The following is a 25,373-nucleotide window of genomic DNA, read 5'->3' as shown; positions in this document are numbered from 1 at the left end:
GAATATCTAATCTCTGGGGAGATTTGTGGTCCTGCATTCTATAATGCTGTTGTCTTCCTGGGTAAAGGAATGTGTCCTGAATCAAGGAGCTTTGCCTAGGGATTGGACAATGGCTGCTTCCAGGGCACTGCACATTTGTTAAAGAGCTCAGTTGCAGAGCAGGTCATTTATCTGGTTCCAGTTTTGATCAGTCTAATTATTCATGATATGATTCGTCACAAAAATAATGTATTAGGATGAAAACATTCTTAAAACAAAGCAAAACAAAACATCAAGCTTCAGCAACTGCAGTTGCCAAGTTTGCCATCTTGATGGTGCTCCTGCAGTGCCTTTGGATGCAATGAAACCAGTCTCACCATTTGGTCAGATATTTTTCTCACGAGGGGAGAGGAATCGCATGAGCTCTTCGACAAATATTTAGTGAGCACCTGCTAAGTAAAGCATATGGAATGCATGATGGATGATACAAAGAAACAATGCAAATCTCTTGCCTTCAAAGACTTCGAACCCCTAGCACTGTAAAACATTGCTGAAGGGAGAATAATTTGTTATATTTACTTTGGGAAAGTGGCAGAAACTACTCAATCTAAGCATAATCTACCCCTGGATCAGGAACTGCACTCTGAGATATATGTCCAGGGGCAATGAGTGCACATGCCCCCAAAGACTTAAGAACATCTGAAGCAGCTTTGTTTATAACAGCCAAAAACAGGGAGGGAGGAAATCATCGACACTAGAATTGTGAATAAATTGCGATCTAGTCATACAGTGAAAAATAATCAGAAGCAAACAAAACACTACTGCTACACATATCAACATGGATAAATTTTTCAGTCTCAATATTGAGGAAAACAAGCCAGGTATTAAGAAGCACATATTTTATGATTCTGTTCACATGAAATACAAGGAAAAGCAAAACTAATCTAATAGAAGTCAATATAATACTTACCTCAGTGTAGTGAAGTGTTAACTGGGAAGGTGAATGAATATTTCAGGGATACTGCAAAAGTTCTGTGTCTTGATCTCCATGCTACATAGAAAGTATTCAAACTTCATTCTATATGTATGCAAATCTCTATCCAGAAGATACATTGAGCCATACCCTCAATATCTGAGCACTTTGTATATATGTATGGTATACCTCAATAACAAAAAGAAAGAAAAAAGCAAACAAGGCCAGGCACAGTGGCTCATGCCTGTAAATCACAGCACTTTGGGAGGCTGAGATGGGCGGATCATGAGGTCAGGAGATCGAGACCATCCTGGTAACACGGTGAAACCCCATATCTACTAAAAATACAAAAAAATTAGCCGGGCATGGTGGCGGGTGCCTGTAGTCCCAGCTACCCAGGAAGCAGAGGCAGGAGAATGGCGTGAACCCGGGAGGCGAAGCTTGCAATGAGCTGAGATCATGCCACTGCACTCCAGCCTGGGCGACAGAGCAAGATTCAGTCTCAGGAAAAAAAAAAAAAAAAAAAAAAAAAGCAAGCAAACAAACAAACAAACAAACAAAACAGTTGGATGTCCAGATGCTTACAAGATCAGAAACACTGAGATCTGCTAATTCTCTCATGTATTTTATATATGATAATTTTTTGAAAACAATTTATGGTTGTAATCATTGTATGATACGCTTTACTAATCAACTAGTTATTTCATTTATTTAATTCTTGAAAATATCTATAGAGGCCTGCACCATATACAGTTGGAATAAAGAGAAGATATGACTCAAATGCCACTCTAGATGACATTGGAAGTCAGATTGGGCAGTTACAAAAATGTTACCAGAAGCACGGGGGTTAGAGGTGCACAGTTAATGGGGTAATAGGGCTGTTAACACAAGAGCTTAGCTTTTAGGAGGAAAATTGTTATTTTACAGACATGGTGTGATTCACCTAGCCTAGGAAATCCAGAAGTATTTCCTAATAAGGTGAGTATGCTGCTTTTGAAGCCAAAAACCTGTGGATATTCTTGATCCGTGTTTTTAATCTTGAGAGGCAGCATTAAGTTATGCCAGTACCGGGACTTGAGGGAGCTTTGGGACTTAAACGAATGGTGTTTGTATTGTAGTCCCATAAGCACTTTTAGCATATGTGGCCTGTAAACCTGAACATTCTGAGATCCACCTTCTATAGCTGTGGAATGAGAACAAAACTGCCTGCAAAATTGTTTCCCAAGACATAAAGATATAAACTCAAACAACTTAGTGTGATTTATATGAACTTTTATGAGTTTCTCTCAATGATTTTCCAACTTCATTTTTTGTCTGTGCTTCTCAATTATTTATTGAGGGCTCTTAATAGCCAACACCCTGCCAGAAGCCAGAGATTGTGAGAAGGACAGAATGGAGCTATGTTCTGGTGGAAGGTGGACAGATGATAGTTAAATAAATAAGAAAATATTGTAATTCCAAAGAGGGCTAAATGCTACGAAAATTTTTAAATGCAGGACTTGTGAAAGGGGGCAGAAGTGTGGTTGACAATATTTTAGGTTGGGTAGTTGAAGAAGGCCTCTCTAAGAAAGTAGTATTTGAGCTGAGCTCTTCAGTGGATATCTTTTGAACCTCACCCCTCATTCTCTCCATCTCTCTCACTAAAGCTTTAGCAATCAGCTTCAAAGACTGCAAGCCAACATTTCCTTGCCTCAGTTACACCTAGTACCTCTTCTATTCTACTCAGTATGTATCTGAATTTGCAGTGTAAAATGCCTGCAGAAAACCATTATACCTTCACAGATGTACAAACCAAGAAGGACAAGAGAATTAACACACCAAGGCCAACGCTTGACCAATGGCAGATGTCATTCAGAAGATTAAGTTCCTTCTTTTTATCCTTTGGGTGGACAAGTGTAAGGTTCATTCTACGTGGCTTTTCAACAGTCACTGAGCCCAAACTGCCACAGCAGAAACCAGCTTAACAGTGTTCTTCCTTCTTCCCTGTCTCACACTTACCATTTACTAAGCTCTTCAGATAACACATCCAGGCTAAACTACCTGCATGAAAGTCTGTGTCTGAGGCTCTGTTTTCTGGCAAATGAAAAACTTTAATATTAAGAAAGAGCCAGCAATGCATAAATGAGGGGAGAAAGTTGTCTAGTAGGAGGAAAGAGCAATTAAAAATGTCTTGAGGCTTACTTTGCCAATCAAAAACCTGACCTTTCTCACTGCCCAGGGGGCTCCACAACTACGGATGGAATAGAATAATGAATTTTATGACATGAAGGAATCAGGGACCCCCAGTCCTTGGCATATTGGAGGAAAAGAAGGCCATAGTAGCCTAAGTGAAGGCGAAGGAAGGTGAAAGAGTATATGGAGAATTCAGCAAGAAGCAGCTCACACAGTCTTACAGGCCCAAGTAAGAAATATGAAAAGCCAGAATATTCTCCCTTCACTGGACTTTTCATTAGTTCTAAATATTCCACTTTCTTTGATTCCTTCACATGGCTCATTAGGGCCCTTCCTGTATGTAAAGTCTCATCTTAGCCCCTCTTCCCCACATCCTCTTTGTTCTGCCCACCTTGGATATATTTACTGTCTTTTAATTTTTTTAATTGTTTTTGATCATAGTCTATAACTTTGCATATGCTGTTTTCTATTCCTTGAGTATCCTGTTCTCCTTGCAAACATATTTGCTGGATAATGGCTATTATCTTTCAAGTGTCTTCTCAAAAGCAACTTTTTCAGGAAAGAATCCAATGATCCTTCTCTCACAAAAACTATTATATATTCTTGCTAGGAATCAACATATTTTCCTGAATGTTTTCATTATTTCATAATCTTTTTACTTTAAAAAATGTTTGACATTCTTCTTTTCTATCACATTACAAACTCTCTGAGTGATAATGTTTTCTTAATCACTGTTGTGAATCTGAATACTGAGTTCACTGTAGGTACCTGTCTTTGTCCATTCGGGTTGCTGTAAAAAAAACACCATAGACTGATTGGCTTATAAACTACAGAAATTTATTTCTCACTGTTGTGAAGGCCGGGAAGTTAAAGGTCAAGGCAATGGAAGACTCAGTGTTGGTAAGGGCCCACATTCTGCTCCATAGAAGTCCTTCCTTTCACTGTGCCCTCACATGGTGGAAGAGACTAAAGAATACTCTGAAACTTTTATAGAAAAGCACTAATCAGAGGCCACACAATCCTAATACCATCACCTTAGGGGGCAGGGTTTCAGCATATGTATTTGGGAGGGACACAAACATTCAGATCATAGCAGTATTTATCTGTATCTCATATGATAAAGATAAGTACTGATACGGTCTGAATCTTTGTGACCCTGCCAGACACAATGTATTATATTGTATATATGTAATTGGTTATATATGTGACTTCATTGTTGTCTCTGTTCCTTTGCACTTGTTGCTATTTCTGCCTGAAAAGTCCCTTTCCCTTCTAACTGTGAAAACACTCCATGAAGGCCTAACTGAAATTCTGCCTCTTAGTGAGATCTTTTCTTACCCATAGGTGTGTTAGCTTCAGTGGCAGACTGTAATTTGGCCATCGGATCTCTGCTTCCAATCCCAGTCTCCATTTTCTGATTCTTCTTTAAAGTCTGTAAAGAGTGAAAATTCCATTTATCCAATCCCCTCTCCATGAGGTCAAATAAACATAAATGGAATTCTTATATTCCTTTCTTCTTGATCTCTTGCTCCTGTCTCAGTAGGGACCTGAGGCATTAAGCATTAGCCATTCTGTAAGCAAGAAGTGAGAAGCATGAAGATTAAGCCAACATGCCAATGATAGAAGAGAAGAAATATTGAAAGAGCATCGGTTCTTGATGGTAGTACCAAACATCTGCATCAGTCCTAAATTGCCTATATCTGGACTTCTTTTTGGGCCAGAAAAATACCCCACCTCCTTATTTTTGTGAAATATAAGAGATGAATATGTTGTCTATATTGAAACTCCACCACACGTAAAGGCATTCAGAACTGAATACTTTAAAACATCTTGGAGACCATGTGAAGCATTAATAAGTAGAGGATTGTTTAGTGAAGCAATAAGAAATAGAGGATGAACTACAAAAAGAAGCAGTAATGTAAGAAGCTAAAGAGTTTTGGGGTAGACCTCTGGGGTCTACAGTAACAAGAGAAGATTGATGGAAAATAAAGAGGCAAACCCAAAGTTAGTAATTCATTTCAATATACATTTTTCACAACAGAGATTCCTTACCAATATGCCACAGATATTTGAAATATAGGCTAGGCACAGTGGCTTATTCCTGTAATACCAGCACTTTCAGAGGCTGAGGCAGGAGGATCGCTTGAGTCCACAGATTTGAGACTAGCCTTGGCAACATGGCAAAACCACATCTCTACAAAAAATATAATAATTAACTGGGCATAGTGGCATGTGCCTGTAGTCCCAACTCTCAGGAGGCTGAGGTGGGAGGATCAACTGATCCTGGCTCGAAGCTGCGGTAAGCTGCAGTGTACCACTGCACTCCAGCCTGGGTGACAGAGTGAGACCCTGTCTCAGCCAATAATATGTATATTATGTATAAGTAATCTTCATGAATAAAATTCATTGCAATCCATATGTCTCATGAGTCTCAGCTAATTTAAGTTCCAAGCCTGTAACAGAAGGAGGAATCTCCTCTGCTATATTTTTGCACAATATACTCAGTAAAGCAAATAGTTTACCTAAGTGGTATTGGCTTAACAAATTCCATAAGCATCATTTGCTGTTGGTGCTTTGATTCTTGGAAATTTTGAACATTTCTAGACAAAGCAAAAATATGTTAAAACTCTACCAAACATAGACGGTGTTTATAGAGACATGGAGTTTCATTCTAGGCTCAATTAATTATAAGGACTTTTCTGCCCTCATGAAATGACATTCAGCTGTTGTGAAGGATGCTGACCAGTCTTCTATGGGTCAATGACTAGCCTCTCACTTTCTTGAGTGAAGAGGCCTGGTTTTATTGTCAAATTTATGCCAGTTTAAATCACAGCTCCTCCACTGTGTAATGCATGTTAAGCTCCTTGAGTCTTAAGTCTCCTCAAACTGCAAAAAATGGGATAACGAAAATCCAATGAGATAAAACATATCAAGCAGCTCATATAGCTTCACATTGTGAATTAAATGGCAGATTTCTATCTCTGGATGAGATCCTTGTGGCCTAGCAACGCCAACAGAATGCAGCAGGTCTAAATATCATGGCTTGATGCACATTCCCTGACTGTATTGCAGCCTGACTTGAATCATCACACCACATTTAGGAGTGATGGTGCAGTGATGAGGACCACCTAAATCACCCTGAAAAGTGCCTAAGCATAAGAGAGCAGAATGTAATTATGAAACTGTTGGGGTTGATGAAGAGAAAGGAATGCTTAATAGAAAACTCAAATGTTGTTCATTATTCAAGGGAGTCTAATTAACGAAGATTTACTGAGGCAATGCTGCATGCCAGGCTCAGTCCTGGGCTCCAGGATATAGAAACTGATAAAGGAGACCCAGTCATTGGCTTTAAGGGGCTTCATCCAGGTGGAGTAAGAATAAGATATATATATATATACACAAAGTAAAGGGAGCACACGTTGTTTGTGATGTGGGCACTACTTTCAGAGAGTGATCCTTTCTGAGAAGTAACATTTGAGTGGTAACATAAGCAATAAGAAAAGGGCAGTCACAGCAACATCTAGGGCAGATCCCTTCTGCAGAGGGATTAGTGATCCTGAGAACTTGGCATGATCTAGAGTCAGAGAAAAAGCACTAATGTGGCTGGAGCCAAGCGAACAAGGGGAGCCCAGAGGAGATGAGCTCCCAGAGATGAGAGGACATGATTCTCTATGATTCTTATGGTCACATTAGGGGACTTCGACATTATTCTGAGTGTAATGGAAAGTTTTAGAAGGGCTCAGCAGAGGTGATAAAATTTATACTCTGAAGTTCAGGTTGATGAATGGAGAAGAGTGTAGTGGGAAAGGAGGCTGTGACAGAAATTGTTTCTCCAGGTCAAGACATAGTAACAACCACTAAGGAGATGCAGGGTAACCCTATGAATTAAAGTTACTTAAGGGACAAATCAACCAATTCCTGTTTGGATACAAATTTAATAAACACACTATATATTACATGCACATCTACATTTATATTTATTCATATGTATATTTATATATGTCTATATTTATATTTCTATATTTATATTTTTCTCTATATTTATAGATATAGCTATATCCATCTATCTATCTATCTATCATCTATCCATCCTTCTATCCATACAGTCGGCCCTTGGACAACTTGGGGGTTAGGGTACTATATCTTCACACATTTGAAAATTCGTGTATAACTTTTGACTCCCAAAAACTTAACTACTAATAGCCTACTGTTGACAGGAAATCTGACCAATGAATAATCAGTTAACACATATTTTGTATGTTATATATATTTTATATGATATTCTTACAATAAAGTAAGCTAAAGAAAAGAAAGTGTTATTAAGAAAATCATAAAGAAGATAAAATATATTTACTGTTTATTACATGTAATTAGATTATCATAAAGGTCTTTAGTTTCGCTGTCTTCAAATTACATAGGCTGAGGAAGAGGAGAAAGAGACGAGGTTGGTCTTGATGTCTCAGTGACAGCAGAGGCAGAAGAAAATCCATATATGAGTGGATCTATGCAGGTAGTTCAAACCCATGTTGTTTAAGAGTCAACTATACATAAAAATATACATACGGCTTAGTCAGTTTGGGACTGCTGTAACAAAATATTGTAGACTGGAAAATTTATAAACAACAGAAATTTATTGCTCATGGTTCTAGAGGCTGGGAAGTCCAAAGTGGAGGTGCCAGCAGATCTGGTTTCTGGTAAGGGCTCACTCTCTGCTTCAGAGACAGTGCCTGCTTGCTGTGTCCTCACATGGTCAGGGCCAGACAAGTTCCCGCCAGCCTCTTTTATAAAGTCACTAATCTCATTCTCAAGGGAAACCCTCATGACCTAGTCACCTCCCAAGGGCTCCACCTCTTAATACCAACAGATTGGGGATTACATTTTAAAAAAATGAATTTCAGAGGGACACAAACATTCCAACCATTGCAATGTACACTTACATATATATCCATGTGCATGCATGTGCCATTTATAAAAATGCGAGCACTGCCTCAATGTATGGCAATATTAAAATGGTGGGTTTTTAGATGTCAAAATGCCTTTGTAATTATGCTTTTTAAGAGTCCTTATCTTTTAGAGAAATATACTGATATTCTTTTCTAGGTGGGACAATATAATATCTGGGTTTAATCCAAATGAAAGTATGAGGAAGAGGGTGAGTGTGGATATAAATAAATAATGTTGCCCATAAAATATTCATTGTTAAAGTTGAGTGATGGATACATCAAGTTTTTTATTGTGTCTAATTTGGTATCTGTTTAATATGTTCCATAATAAAAACAGAGAGAGAAAAAAGTATGTGTCTCTCACCCTCATCTCTGTCTCTATGGTATGTGAATGAGGGGAGAGGATAAAGAGAGAGAAAGAGAGAGAGAGAGAGAGAGAGAGAGAGAGAGAGAATGGTACAGTGGTATGTGGGGTTTTGAGTACTTGAATGGCACCTTAGGTTACGATAAGACGTGGTCAGAGTCTAGAGTGTTTTAGAGGCAGAATGAACAGAAATTTCTGTTGGATGTCTAAGTCCCTGAGATTTTGGGACAACTATTTTACTCTGTAGGCTGTGCTGAGCCACTGAAAGTTTTTTGATCAGGAGACCCGTATGATCAGCTATGTTTGGGGCTGCAGCTGACAGCGCAGGATTAAAGCCAAGAGCTCTGGCACTTTTTCAACATAAGATGGCAACTTTGAGGAGTACCACGCTTTAGTTCTAAAAGTGTGTTTTGATCCCAATATGCCAGGAGCTTGCCTACCTCAGCTTGCCCATAATGTAATGTCTGTGATTAGCAATCAAGCACAAGATGAGGAATCCAGCTTCCTAAATGGATTAATATGCTAAAATTTTCATCAGCTATGAAAGCCTTGACCTATTCAGGCATTGTTAAACAAAGGCACTCTCTGGTTGCCTGCCTTTCCATTTAAGGTCCAGTGTAATCTGCTTTTCACATTCACTTACCCAAAGTATATAAAATATCCTAGACAGCAAAATGCTTCCCTAAAGAGTGTTAAGTATCAACCTTCTTCATTTGCCTATTTTTGGAGAAATTTGAGCTGCACTCTGGATAGAAATTGTAAACTCCTGGGATCCCAGACATTTCTTTGATTTTCTCCTTTAATTTCTTACTGCTTCTCTCAGATCCATTAATGAAACACTCTATGTACATCTAAAGAAGAGATCATTTAGACGATGTGTTAATAAGCACACCTTACAGAGACTCTCCTGTATTTCTTTTAACATAAGACTTGTTCGTCTGAGGTAGCCTCTCTTGCACCTCAGATAACCTCCAGTGAAATACAGCTTTAGGCATATTACTCTTTTTCCACTGCCAGTTTGTAAAAGCCTCAAAAAGAAGCAACCGAATGTACTAGCTAAAAATTAGTTTTTGAGGCTGGAACAGTTGTAAGTCTAAAACTCAACCGTGGTACTTAGAATTGATGCAATGTTTTAAAGACTCATCTTATTCATCTCTAACATAGGGATAATAGGACGTTTTCATAAAATTGTTGTCATCAGCAATGAAAGCCTTGACCCATCCAGACATTGTTTAAAAAAAGGCACACTTGAGGTGCCTACTTTTCCACTTAAAGTTCAGTGTAATTTGCTTCATAGGTTGAAGTCCAGTGTAATCATGCTTCATATGTTGCATGATATGAAGCATGTAAAGTAGTTACCAGGGAATCCAGCCTGTGGTGAGCAGTCAATAAATGTTATAATTGTCAGCTATTATTTTTATCAGCCAATGTCACAATGTCACATATTCATGTCAATGATCTGCATAAGTTGAACTGCATTAGTTAAAATAATCAGTAAGTTTTTATTGATTACTATGGCTACATTACTAGCTCTCAGACCATGCATTCAACAGCAACAGTCTTTCTCACGTTTGTCAAAGATCAGATAGTTGTAGATATGCGGCATTATTTCTGAGGGCTGTGTTCTGTTCCATTGATCTATATCTCTGTTTTGGTACCAGTACCATGCTGTTTTGGTTACTGTAGCCTTGTAGTATAGTTTGAAGTCAGGTAGCGTGATGCCTCCAGTTTTGTTCTTTTGGCTTAGGACTGACTTGACGATCAGGGCTCTTTTTTGGTTCTATATGAACTTTAAAGTAGTTTTTTCCAATTCTGTGAAGAAAGTCATTGGTAGCTTGATGGGGATGGCATTGAATCTATAAATTACCTTGGGCAGTATGGCCATTTTCACGATATTGATTCTTCCTACCCATGAGCATGGAATGTTCTTCCATTTGTTTGTATCCTCTTTTATTTCATTGAGCAGTGGTTTGTAGTTCTCCTTGAAGAGGTCCTTCACGTCCCTTGTAAGGTGGATTCCTAGGTATTTTATTCTCTTTGAAGCAATTGTGAATGGGAGTTCACTCATGATTTGGCTCTCTGTTTGTCTGTTATTGGTGTATAAGAATGCTTGTGATTTTAGTACATTGATTTTGTATCCTGAGACTTTGCTGAAGTTGCTTATCAGCTTAAGGAGATTTTGGGCTGAGCCAATGGGGTTTTCTAGATATAGGGGAAAGGATTCCCTATTTAATAAATGGTGCTGGGAAAACTGGCTAGCCATATGTAGAAAGCTGAAACTGGATCCCTTTCTTACACCTTATACAAAAACCAATTCAAGATGGATTAAAGACTTAAACGTTAGACCTAAAACCATAAAAACCCTAGAAGAAAACCTAGGCAGTACCATTCAGGACATAGGCATGGGCAAGGACTTCATGTCTAAAACACCAAAAGCAATGGCAACAAAAGCCAAAATTGACAAATGGGATCTAATTAAACTAAAGAGCTTCTGAACAGCAAAAGAAACTACCATCAGAGTGAACAGGCAACCCACAAAATGGGAGAAAATTTTCGCAACCTACTCATCTGACAAAGGGCTAATATCCAGAATCTACAATGAACTCAAACAAATTTACAAGAAAAAAACAAACAACCCCATGAAAAAGTGGGCGAAGGACATGAACAGACACTTCTCAAAAGAAGACATTTATGCAGCCAAAAAACACATGAAAAAATGCTCACCATCACTGGCCATCAGAGAAATGCAAGTCGAAACCACAATGAGATATCATCTCACACCAGTTAGAATGGAAATCATTAAAAAGTCAGGAAACAAAAGGTGCTGGAGAGGATGTGGAGAAATATAAACACTTTTACACTGTTGGTGGGACTGTAAACTAGTTCAATCATTGTGGAAGTCAGTGTGGCGATTCCTCAGGGATCTAGAACTAGAAATACCATTTGACCCAGCCATCCCATTACTAGGTATATACCCAAAGGACTATAAATCATGCTGCCATGAAGATACATGCACACGTATGTTTATTGCGGCACTATTCACAATAGCAAAGACTTGGAACCAACACAAATGTCCAACAATGATAGATTGGATTAAGAAAATGTGTACATATACACCATGGAATACTATGCAGCCATAAAAAATGATGAGTTCATGTACTTTATAGGGACATAGATGAAATTGGAAATCATCATTCTCAGTTAACTATCACAAGAACAAAAAACCAAACACCGCATATTCTCACTCATAGGTGGGAATTGAACAATGAGAACACATGGACACAGGAAGGGGAACATCACACTCTGGGGACTGTTGTGGGGTGGGTGGAGGGGGGAGGGATAGCATTGGGAGATATACCTAATGCTAGATGACGAGTTAGTGGGTGCAGCGCACCAGCATGTCACATGTATACATATGTAACTAACCTGCACGTTGTGCACATGTACCCTAAAACTTAAAGTATAATAAAAAAAAATAGCAACAGTCTACATCTCAAGTATTGTGGAGAATTATTTAAACATAAAAAAGTAACTTTTGGAGTAGTGGAGTTTATGATTTGTATTATACTGAGGCATTATGTTAATAACTATTGGACCATCAGTTTTGTGTACAGTCTTTATTTATCCAGTTATCATCAGGACACATAAGAACTAGTATTAAAGTTAGAGAGTACTATTTCTCTGGCAAAATGGGGGGAGGTGAAAAAGCAGTGATTCAGGGGAGAATAAAGGGATTTTATGAAAAACATAATGGAAATGCCTGGTCATGGCACTAGCCGTGTCATCTCAGGCCATAAACTAACCTATGGAGCCTAGCTTTTCTAGGCTGTAGAATGTGATTAATAAAGTCTGTATCATAGAGCATTCATGATGAATCAATCGATGCCTCTGGAAGGTACTAGCACTAGTACTGAGATAGAAATCACTTAAGATATCATATGCACACGTATGTTTATTGTGGCACTATTCACAATAGCAAAGACTTGGAACCAACCCAAATGTCCAACAATGATAGACTGGATTAATAAAATGTGGCATATATACACCATGGAATACTATGCAGCCACAAAAAATGATGAGTTCATGTCCTTTGTAGGGACATGGATGAAGCTGGAAACCATCATTCTCAGTAAACTATCACAAGGACAAAAAACCAAACACCGCATGTTCTCACTCATAGGTGAGAATTGAACAATGAGAACACATGGACACAGGAAGGGGAACCTCACATACTGGGGCCTGTTGTGGAGTGGGGGGAGCGGGGAGGGATAGCATTAGGAGACATACCTAATGTTAAATGACGAGTTAATGGGTGCAGCACACCAACATGGCACATGTATACATATGTAACAAACCTGAGCATTGTGCACATGTACCCTAAAACTTAAAGTATAATAAAATAAGTAAATAAATAAATAAATACATATGACTAAGAATACAAAAAAAAAAAAAAAAAGAAATCACAGCTTACACCCCTGCCTCCTCACCTATTCTATCTACCTCTGACAAGAGCATTTCAGGAATTTTAGCACAGCCCAAACCACCCTTGACTATCTAAGGGAGAGCATAAAGTAGAATATAACTAAGAAGCAAAAAGAGAATGCGGCTCATTGCATCCTTAACATTTACAATGGGCTTGCCAAGTTCTGGGCTCCAAAGATGCAAAGCCCTATGCGGGCCTTCAAATGGTCTGTTGCACTGTCTGCTTTTCATTCCTGTATCCCAGTGAGGCCAGGTGGTGTGGTGCTTGGGCACATACCGTCTCTGAGTCCTAGGGTAGCCAGAATGGCCTTCTCCTTTCTCTTCTCCAGTGTCCAAATTCAGTGTGACCTTCAGGAGAAAGACAGGGAAAATAGAGACATCCTGCCCAGTTTGCAAAATTTTTTATTTTGTGACTCATAAAATCAATCAGTTTCTCACATTTGTTTTTTTTAAATCACGATTATAAAATCAGTGCATATTTATTGCATAAAAGCAGAATGTTCAAAGTAAAAATTGCCCATATTAAAGATTTAGACATATGGAAGTGTGTGTGTGTATATGCGTATGTGTGTGTGCATATGTATGTGTTCTCTTAGTCTAAGAATACACTTTCACATTATGATTATCTATGTCTTTAATGCAGAAGGAATATATTGTCTTTGTTAAAAATACGTACTACAAAGTTAGGCAGATCTGAGTTAACATTCCTGCTTTATCACTTTCTGTCTATGCAACTTTGAGCAAGTTGCTTAATAAATCTAAGCCACAATTTTGTGGATTTAATAAAATGTATGTGAAACATTTTATACAGATAATTACAAATAAAAAATTAAATATATGCTGCATATTGTCATTTTTATTAACAGTTCTTCTGTATTTCTTCATATCTCTAGAATTCTTTAAAATCACATTGTCACTGGCTGTACAATATTCTTTTCTGAGCCCAGCACAAAATCAGCACCATGTAAAAAGCTACAAATAAGTAAGTGTATGATAATTTACTTAAACATCAATTTCTAAAAGCTTTCCCAGTATTATAGCTAAAAATAATTCATTGTTTCAAATTCTATTATTTATTTACATTTGCATTTTCTTTCATTTAGTTTTCTGCTCATATCCTTGGCTCATTTTTATCAGTCTTAATTTTCATCATAATGTATATTTTTATATTAACTTTTAAAGGTTCCAAATATTTACACTGATTTTATGGTATGAATCAGAAACATTGCATGACACACAATGAAGCTCTCCTTTTGGAATTCAGGAATCTGGAATTTAGACCTGGTTGTACCATTTACTATTTGTGTGACCCTCAAGAATTCCCCTAAACACTTGTTCTTTATTATTATTTTTGTTTGCACCCTTCCCTTTCTTGTTCACGGCAAGTCTATACAACTTGGGCGAGAAAGAAATTCTACAATAAAACGTTGAATGATTTTACTTCAAATTCAAGCTACTAAGTCTTATATATCTAGGCCTTATCTTCCCTTGGGTGATGTACTTCCTATAAATCTCAGTGGTTTTTGAAAAGGCCCCTGCTAGGACTTTACAAGATCTACCTATATGGAGTAGTTATTTTTCCTTATTTGCAGAAGACAATAGACTATATGTTGACTAGAAGAAGGTTAGCTAAATGTATGTATGAGCCAGAATAAAATCATATACTGCAATCAATTTATTGCTAATACATTTCCTATTAATTATGTTTACTCCACAAATACATTTAGGTCAAATGTCATCAAATATAAATAGCCATCCAGCATTATAATCCCTTAAAATAAACAAAATATATAATTTCTATGAGGGACAGCCATATTTCTGCTTTAATTTATGTACCTGAGTACTATCCTGCAAAAGCAAAACCAACTCAATAATTTAAATATAGTCCAATGCCTTGACTGGTTTTCAACATAGCAAAGACAAAAGCTGTAGTCATGATTGGTGGCCTAGCCCTTCCCATTCAATAATCACTTTCCTTTTTCTCTTCAATGCTTTTGGATTGATGCAAATACATGAAGAAACTGTATGAAGAGAAAATAAACAAAGAGAATTACAAACAAAGGGAAGGAAATTGTTATTATGACAAAGGAAACAAATGCAATAGATTTAGCCATATCGGAAGTTCATAGTAAATACGAAAGAAGAATTATATTTCATGGTGGAAGTAAAACAAAGTAAGAACTCAAAAGAAATAAATGCCTCAGTGAACTTTTCCTTTTCCCTTTCTGTTCAACTGAATACTCCATGATTCATTCACTTCGAATATGTGTGCTCCAGCACTGGCCATATATAAACCTAACATTCCTGCTATTTACGCTCTTTCTCATTTCGAAGTGAGAAACCTCTGGAAGCTTCCCTAACTCCTCAGGCCATGAGAGAAGTTCTAACTGCATAAATGCTCAGCATAGCTTTCCAGAATCATTTCCATCTTGTGGTTGCTCACAGAGTCTGTGCACACACACTAATTTTGTGGTGTGAATCTGAAACATTGCATGACACACAGCAAAGCTCTCCTTTTGGAATTCAGGGATCTGGACTTTAGAGCTGGTTGTACAATTTACTATTTGTGTGACCTTCAAGAATTCCCTTAAATTATTTCAATGGTCTGATTTAAAAGAGAGAAGGAATGCTCTTTTAGGTGAGCAAAAGTATTATATCTAATAATGTATGTGTGCATTGTAATTTTGTGACACATAAACTGCCTCATAACATTTATAACTAACTTATTGACAAAAGTATATAGGGATGTGCATACTTGCTAATTGTCTTAATTCTATTGCATTGATTCTACTTTTAGTTACTGATCACCCTATGAATTATCAAACAAGCTATGCATGTGTGGAGGAGAAATACAGTTTAGATTACAACCTTCATGCCATACATCCTTGAATGTCATAGTGTCAATAAGAGTTTGCATGTTGTAAATACCTAATAAATGTTTGCTGAAAGTATATGTATTGAGTCTACAAATGAATAAAATTATTTGCAAGGTCTGAGAGAGAAAGCCACATGCTTGCAAATAAATAAAAATGTTAAACAGATTTTGACTTATTTCATTTTCACCTAGACCTAGACACTTGCTCCAAAACATATTCATACCCGGTTCAGGGTTCATGTCCAAAATATAGAAGGAATTTGTACAACCCAAAAGGAAAAAACTCTGGTCAAAAAATGGACAAAGGATTTGAACAGATATTTCTCTAAAGAAGACATACAAATAGCCAATGGGTATATGAAAAGATGCTTAACGTCATTAACTATCAGAGAAATACTTATCAATGCCACAAATAATATCATGTCACATCTGTTAGGATGGCTATTGTTAAGAAAATAAGAGTTGGCAAGGATGTGAAGAAATTGGGACTCTTGTACACTGTTGGTGGGGGAATGTAACATGGTGCAGCTGCTGTGGTAAACAGTATGGATTTTTATCAAAACACTAAAAATAGAGCTACTTATGATCCAGCACTCTGATTTCTGAATATTCATTAAAAAATTAAAATCAGGATCTGAAAAAGATTTTTGCACTCCCATGTTTATCGCAGCATTATTCGCTATAGCCAAGATATGGAACCAAACTAAATATCCGTCAGTGTATGAGTGCATAAGGAAAATGTGGTAAATACATACAATGAAACATTATTCAGCCTTAAAAGAGAAGGATTTCTGACGTGTGATAATGTGAATGAACCTTAATGATATTATTTTAAGGTAAATAAACCAGTCATAGAAGAACAAATACTGCCTGATTCCACTTACATGAAGCATCTGTAATAGTCAAACTCCCAGAAGTGGAGAGTAGAATGTTGATTGCCAAGAGATGGGGAAAGAGGAAAATTGAGAGTTGTTGTTTGATTGGTGTGAAGTATTGATTTTTCAAGAAGAATGAGTTCTGGAGATCTACTGTATAATATTGTGCCTATAGTTAACAATATACTTAAAAATCTATATACTTAAAAGTTGTTTAGAGGGTAGACTCCTGTTAAATGTTCTTAGAGCAGTATAGATAAACAAGTAAATAAATAAAAATTAAAACAAAAACACCAAAATGATATCTGATTGAAGTTAATGTCAAAACATAATTTTATTTGGAATTTACATAGCTGAAATAACATACTTGTATGTATTAATTAATAATATAGCAAAGAACGAATAGTATTATTTTAATCCCCTAAACCAAAGTCTCAGAATTATAATACCAAATTCATAAAAAATCTTATATTTACCCATAAATGTGGATCTTAAAGGGGGAAATTTTTTGGTACCATGGGATTATTAAAAAAATAAATAGACATTGGTGAAGATTCTTATTAGGTTTAGGGTTAGTCTCAAATATCTCAGGTTGAGAAAAATGAAACATGGTTCTGTTTCTTCAAAGATCCTAGGGAATCCTGAACAATATTGTGTGTTGTTTGGTTCAGAAATAGAATTAAAATGTCTAACAGAAAAAAATAATAAAAATTTGAACTTTTATATGTGAAACAAATAAAAATTTTCCTAAGTTAAATCTAATGAAGCTACATGGAATAAAATAATAAATGTTTTGAAAAGAGGAAAACACTATAAAGCATTGTCTCCATGAAATAATAACAAATAAACATTATCTGAAATCCATATCCTTAGTCAACTAATTAGATGAAGAATACCCAAGAATGGGTGAAAAGAAGGTAATATTAATACGTATGGGGTTTTTCATACTCAATTCACAACATCTTAATGAGCACTTATATTTCCAAGAGAATATAGAGGACTATGTCTTTGAGGAGAGCTCAGCTTTAATTACCATGTGTCAGAAGCTGTTTAAATGGCTCACAAAGAAGTTTAGAAAGTTAAAAATTCCTAGACCTATCCAAATGAACAGTTATCATTTGTTACATTTTGGAAAGGATTCTGAAGAAATTAACAGAATCATAGCCTGATAAAACTCTTCTGCCCAAATCAGAATTTCTATTCCTATTACAAAAATGCCTTTATGACCCTGAGTAAAGATTCAAAACTACTTTTCTTATTATAAATACAATTTACATCATTTCTGATTTTTCAATGATCAGTGTATTTTTTTCCTTAAGTGCAAATATTTATACTTTGTCTTAAATGGAAAGTTCATCCAACCAACACTTTCTTCTAGTCATGTGTTTGTGTTTTTTAGAGACATGCAGCCTATTTGGCAGAATAAAATGTAAATGAAATATTCTTTCTTTTTTTCTCCATATACAAACAGAGCGTTTTGTGTTCATTCATTGTAACGTTTCTGTTGAAGTGCTGTCATTTGCTTATACCAATCTTTGGCACATAAAGTGTTTATCAGATGCCTTCTGCATAAGTGATCCAAATTTAAAATAAAAGATGGAACTGAAACTTTTTATTCAGAAAATATATCCCCCTGTTTTTAAGGTGATTTAGGTTTGATGTCGAGATATATTGTATCATGGTGGACTAGAAAAGTGTTCAGTGTCTTATGTATGATTTTGTGTTAAGTCATGTATAATCAAGTATAAGTTTTCAAAATTAATGTGTTTTTCTTTCTCACCTGTAGTGTCACAGAGTTTTGTAAAATTCATGCATTTGTCTAACTCTGCCATCCCTTAAAGGTCAGGCAGTTCTTGGTTCTTGATGGGGTTCTCATTACTGGTCAGCATATTTTATCTATGAATCGCCAGTGATAAGGAAAATTGTTTGGCACATGATAGATATTCAATTAAATATATTAAATTGAATTGAAATAGAGCCTCTGACTGTCTTTCAGAGCCTTTTTTCTTTAAGAGGAAATATTATATACAGAAGGCAGTTTTTAAAAATTACACTTGCGACTGTTTCAAACATAAATACTTTATGAATACCAACATAGCTTTTTCATTAACAACACACGTCACGTGTGAGCTACAGAGTCCAGGAAACAGGTTTGGGTCTCAGTTTCCCTATCAGTGAATTAAGAGAATTTGATAATTGTACAAGTAATCTCTGGCTCTAAAATCTGATGTTCCTTTGAACAGCAAGAAAATATCTGGGATGTGATAGATTGTACAACTTGGCAGCAGCTAGGCTGACAGTAACAGAATAATAGATGTCTACAATGTCTTCCAAGCCAGGCTGAGCTAGGGAGCCAACAAGGGTGGCATACAGGAGGTCCTTTCTAAACAGATTCAGTACAGCTCCTAGTGCTACTCTGAGCTAAGCTATGCCTTTATTAAGCATGTGGCATCAATTACAGCAGTCTTCTTCCACCTACAGTGCAACCCAAGAGAAGCACAAGAGCTGCAGGAGGCTTCCATCATCAGTCAAACTGTTGTTATCAGCTAACTCCCTCAATTGGCCATATGTCTTTTCATTGACACTCTCCCCTACCAGATTATTAGGAGACAGCCATGCAAAGGAATTTCTAGCAGATAACTTGTAGGGAGATGCTTCAGAGCCAGCCTGCTAGTTATTAGAGCATTGTGGTAGAAAACACTTTTTAGAGAACTGGTTTGGGAGTGCAATATCTATGATATTTATTCTGGATTTAAAATTTATTAGATTTGTGATTTTGAACAAGTGACTTCCTCTCTGGACTTTACTCTTTACTGTATACATCCCTCAACCATAATAAAAAGATGTCACAGGAGTGAGGTCAAAAATTACAGTTTATGCAAAATTCCTTTGTATAAAACTGAGTTCATATTCACACATAGACAAACTCGCATACATGCACACACAATTATTCGTAAGAGATTTTGTAAAAAATGTTCTATCTTTCTCTCCTGATTCTCTGGTACATATAATCTGTGTCTTATAATAGAACACTCAATAGAGTAGTCTTTCTTTTCCACTCTTGGATGTTTCTTTTTTTTTTTTTTTTTTTTTTTTTTTTTTGGAGACAGAGTCTCGCTCTGTCCCCCAGGCTGGAGTGCAGTGGTGCGATCTCGGCTCACTGCAAGCTCTGCCTCCCAGGGTGTTTCTTTATTCTTACACCCAGATGTGAACTTCTTTGAGGAACAGTGCACCAGCCATTTTATTTGTCTGTACTTTCAGCACCAGGTGCTCATGCTCTCAGTTCCCAGACATTGGAATATACCCTCCCCTTTGCTCCTCGTGGAAATGCGGTCTATGGCCTTGTTCAAATATCTATTCCAGAATTCTCCTTGAAAGTCACCTTCCTTCTTGATGCTCCAGTTGGCCCATTTTCTCTTTGCTTGGGTTCTATTTTTTTACATTATCTAAGAGTAGTTTACTCAATGATATGTAAATTTGAAACATGTTCAGTGAGCAGCCACAATTATTAAAAGCAATGTGTGAAACACTCTGGAAAACTAAACAACAACAACAAACAAACAAACAAAACCAGTCACTAGTCACAAATCTTGCCCCCATCTCTTTTCCCCTGTATTACAAAATGGTAAAGCAGATAAGGCAAGCAATAAGCATCTATAATTCAAGATTAGAATTAAAGATAATAATGCTTCTATTGGCATGTAATTATTGTTGGATGCCAAGGAAAGAGAGTGATTCTCATGGGGAAGATTTGGGAGACAGCACAGAGGTTCAAATTCTTCTATGTCTCCAACTATGGGTCCTTTGACTTCTCTATGTTCCCTTCTTTGAGTTGCATTTTTTTTTAGCTTCCCAATAAAATGTTCTTGTTTATACAGGGCTCATCTATGCCCACCACTTCTACCACCTGCATGAATGGATAACTTGCAAATGTATGCCACATTCCTAGAACTGCAGTCTAAGCTATACCGTTCAATAAGTCTATCCCATTGTTTACCAGACTCCCCACCAGGTTGCCCCTCAGATCCTTCTGTATTAGCAGGCTCAGAAATTAACTTATTTTACATTCCCCCTACTCATGCTACTTTCTTTTTACCTATTTTAATTACTGTCCTATTATTAACACTACCAGAAATATTTAATCCCTTTATATAACCAGGCAGTAACCCCTAATAATTCATTTTGCTTAAGATAGTTCCTATCTACCTCATATTTGCACCAATTACCAAGATTTTGGCTGAAAATACTATTTTTCTGCATTGTTGCAATGTTCCATAACTGTTATCTGTGTTTCAGTTTTCACCATTCTTTATCTCCCACATTGATGGCAGAGTGCTATTGCTAAACTGCAAATCTGACCATATAATTTTCATGCTTAATATTTTTAATGACTTGCATTGATTTTGGAATCAGGATCACCAGCAAAGCACACAGTTTTTACTGTTACACTATTGTTGATCCCTGACAAAAGAATTTGAAGCTCCTAAAACTATAACATTTTAAAAGTACAGGTGTATTTAAATATTTGGTGTTCATGTTGTGTCTTTTCTGTCTCAACTCACATCATTTCACTATTCATTTAATAAACTCAATAATCTTATTTAATATGACACCAAAGTTCTTATGAAACTTAGCCTCATCCTCAAGAAAAGTTTTAAAACTTTCACATTACTACTTATGTATATATTTTGGAAGTGTAGACAGTTGAAAAATTATTTTACATTATTTTAATCAATGGGGCTGTTCAGAACAAGAACATTTCCTTATTTAGCTTTTATTCTCTAGCACTCAGTGCAATACTGAAAACATAGAGAAGCTCAAAACTTTGTTGGCCACTTCCGTTGAGTGACTAATTTAACACAAAAGATGAAAACTCTGGACCTCCCCAAAAAAACATGAACAAAGGCAAAAACAGACTGTTTGAGGAGTATGAGCAAAACTGTCTCATCAGACCTTTGGGAGAAAATGATCATGTATGCTTACCTTGATCATCTATAGCATGTGTACAGATGAAGAAAATATTTTTTTTTTGTTTAATAATGCCAACATATTAGACCGGTAAATGAGTGATGTTGAAATTTGGAACATTTCCTAAGAAGGTATAGTTTACTACCTTTTACAGGTTGATCATCCCAAATAGGAAAATCCAAAATTTGAAATATAGTACTCCAAAATCTGAAACTTTTTAAGCACTGAAATTATGCCACAGTGGAAAATTTCATATGTGACCTCATGTGATGGGCTGCAGTCAAAATGCAGGTCCACAACACATGATTTATTCAGCATTCCCAAGAGTGAGAACCTTCTTAGCCCGCTTCAGCTGTAATATATATTATTTACTTATGCCCAGATTATTCCACATAAACACAAAGTGCAATAAAATAGCACATGTACAGGGTGGCTGTGCCAACAGCAGGTTCCTCACAATGCTCCAAATGGGGCCAAGACCTACATCCATTAATTACTGTGTTTGTGTTTTTTTTTTATTATTATTATTCTCTGCTCTGCAATGTAATAATTTTGTTGAAAATTTCAAAAAAGGCCAGGCTTGCTGGCTCACTCCTATTATTCCAGCACTTTGGGAGGCTGAGGTGGGTGGATCACCTGAGGTCAGGAATTCAAGACCAGCCTGGCCAACATGGTGGAAACCCTGTCTCTACTAAAAACAAAAAAATTAGCTGGGCGCTGTGGCAGGTGCCTGTAGTCGCAGCTACTTGGGAGGCTGAGGCAAGAGAATTGCTTGAATCTGGGACGTGGAGGTTGCAGTGAGCCGAGATCACACGACTGCACTCCATCCTGGGTGACAAGAAGGAAACTGTGTCTCAAAAAAAAAAAAAAAGGCCTATACATATTCCTATGGGTAAAAGTATTAAGAAAAAGTGGAAGCATTTATGCTTATCTATAGCACAGAAAGTCAAGCTGTTGGAGAAACTGGACAGTGGTGTAAGTGGAAAACGTCATGCAGAAGTGCATGGTGTTGGAATGACCATCGTACATGACCTAAAGAAACAGAAAGATAAATTGTTGACATTATATGCTGAAAATGATGAACAGAAGTTAATGAAAAATAGAACATAAGCCATTGCAGAAAGATAACAATGAAGATTTTGATCATGTTTTTAAAGAGTGGATTCATCAGAATTACAGTAAAGAGATGCCACTTAAAGGTATGCTGATCATGAAACAATCAAAGATCTGTCATGATGAACTGAAACCGAGAGAAAAAGTAAATATTGAACACGCTGATTGCAGAACTATCAGAAATAATGCAGCATTAGATTTTTAGATATGTTTTGTTTTAAAGCATCTGCTGATCATGAAAGAGCAGAGAAATTAATTGATAAGTTCACCAAGGCTATCACTGATAAAAATAGGACACCAGAGTAAATCTACAATGCTGATGAAACATCATGGTTGTGGTGGTGTTGCCCTAGAAAGTCATTGACTACAGCTGATGAGACAGCTCCTATAGAAATTAAGAATATCAAGGACAGAACAACTGTGGAGAATGTGCTAATGCAGCAGGCGTGAGTAACTGTAAACTTGCTGTGATGGGCAAAAGCACGCATCCTCCCTGTTTTCAAGGAGTAATTCTTTTACCAGTTCATTCTTATTCTTTTCCAATTGGTTTCACAAATACTTTTTACCAGTGTCTTATACTCAATGAAGGAAAGCAGGACTAGATAAAGGTTGCATTATTTTATTATTTTTTGGTGACTATTCTGCTCCTTCTGCAGCAGAATTTTTAATAAAAAGAAATGCTATGTCACAAACTTTCCCTCAAATGTGACTTCATTAATTCAGCCATGTGACCAGGCTATCCTTAGATTGATGAAGAGTAAATACAAAAGCACTTTCTTGAACAGCATTGTAGCAGTGAACAAAAGTGTTGGTGTGGAAGGTTCTCAAAAGGACTTTAGCATATATGATGCTACATGCTTGGAACACAGTGACAGAAGACACAGTTGTACATGCCTGGCACAGCCTCTGACCTGCAACTATGTTCAGTGATGATGATGAGCAAGGTGGTGACCTTAAGAGATTGCATACGTCAAGTAAAGAAAAAGCCTGCACTCCTTATATATGCAAAAAATTATACTTTCAGAGTCCATTGGTAAACTGGAAGAAGTAGATCTTGAAGCAGTTTTTAATATCAATAATGAGGCTCCAGTTGTTCATTCATTGACTGATGGTAAAATATCAAAAATGGCTCTGAATCAAGGTGATGTTGATAATAGTGATAATGAAGATGATGTTAACACTGCAGAAAAAGTGCCTATTGATGACATGGTGAAAACGTGTGATGGACTTACTGAGAGACTAGAGGAGGAATTGTTCATAACAGAACAAGAAATCACAATAGATTATAAAATCACGGAGAGACTTTTAGGACGAAAACATTAATGATGCAGATGACTCTGGAGGAAACATTTTAAAAAGCCATCCAACAAAATGCCTCCTCATCCCTCGAGGACTCACTCTCTGGTCCCTCAACTGCTTCAGATGTTTCTTTTCCCCCAAGAAAATGCAATGAACCTTTTAATCAAAACACGGAAACACAGGTGGAGACTGATAGCCAGCCATTGTTTGTTGTTGCTGTTGTTTAGCAGCTTATATGGTATCCTGGTGATGTTACTGTGTGCTTAGTTACCCTTGACACATTATTTTTTCAATGCGTTAATGGTATGTCATTTTTTTTTACTGTTAGGTTCTTAATGCATAAATATATGTAAGAAAATGATTGCTTATTGATAGCATAGAAATTCAGCATCAGGAATTACAGTGATGCCAAACAACCACAGATTGTCCCTATGGGTGGCAAAGATAGTGAGACCTTTAGTTTCTGATGGTTCAATGTACACAAACTATGTTTCATGCACAAAGTTATTTAGGCTATTGCATAAAATTACCTTCAGTCTATGTATATAAGATGTATAGGAAACAAAAATAAATTTCCTGTTCAGACTTGGATCCCACTCCAAAGATATCTTATTATGTATATGCAAATATTCCAAAACATAGAAAAATTCCAAATTCAAAACACTTCTTGTTCCAAGCATTTTGAATAAAAAAACTACATAATCAACTATGTCAACAGTTAACAGTTAAGTATCTCAGTATCATATCAATTTTAGAACCTAGTAATGAAGGACAATAAAATTATTTTAAAACAAATAACATTTGATGAATACATTAATTAGAAATGCTTCCCCATGTTTACATATAATTGACATACCCAAAAAACAAACAAACAATAACTAACTTATGGTAAGTGACATTTGCTGAAAAGCTGGTTAATGTATCTAAATTCCGAGCACTATATGAAAAGAAGCCTCTAACTACATATTGAAGTTAAAAAAAATTCAACATTAACAGATTAAAGTTTGCAGTTAATTTATTCTACTAATTAAGTTTATTCTTCTAAACTGATATCAATTTAATAAGACTGCAAACTGCATTGACTTGTCTTTGTTATTGTGACATTTCACTAACGACTCCTGAACCAGAACCCTTAGGTGAAATAATACCTTTCTGAACTTACTGAATAGTGCCATAACCTAAAGGTAGATACTGGAAAATGCAGAGCTTGTCCATTTGAGAAAGGAGGATAGGAGGAAGAAAAAATGAAAAAAGGAAAGAAGGAAAGAAGAGCAACTGACTATTTGTATAAATTTATGATGGATAAGTAATCACATGACAGGTCTCAATA

The 25,373-nt window shown here is 36.5% G+C and overlaps 1 long non-coding RNA gene across 1 annotated transcript in view; it reads right to left on the bottom strand.

Annotated features, from left to right (window-relative positions):
- Positions 1-3,939: 3,939 nt before the first annotated feature.
- The window catches only part of LINC02055 (long intergenic non-protein coding RNA 2055), a 366,804-nt gene continuing 345,370 nt past the window's right edge, over positions 3,940-25,373 (bottom strand). Inside the window, exons 5-6 of the long non-coding RNA NR_147196.1 lie at positions 4,463-4,556; positions 3,940-4,108 (exon numbers count right to left, since the gene is read on the bottom strand). This is a non-coding gene — a long non-coding RNA (long intergenic non-protein coding RNA 2055). The remainder of the gene's footprint in view (positions 4,109-4,462; positions 4,557-25,373) is intronic.

Source organism: Homo sapiens, chromosome 8 (genome assembly GCF_000001405.40).
Source record: "Homo sapiens chromosome 8, GRCh38.p14 Primary Assembly".
NCBI lineage: Eukaryota > Metazoa > Chordata > Mammalia > Primates > Hominidae > Homo > Homo sapiens.
This window is presented reverse-complemented; position numbering and strand designations above follow the sequence as displayed.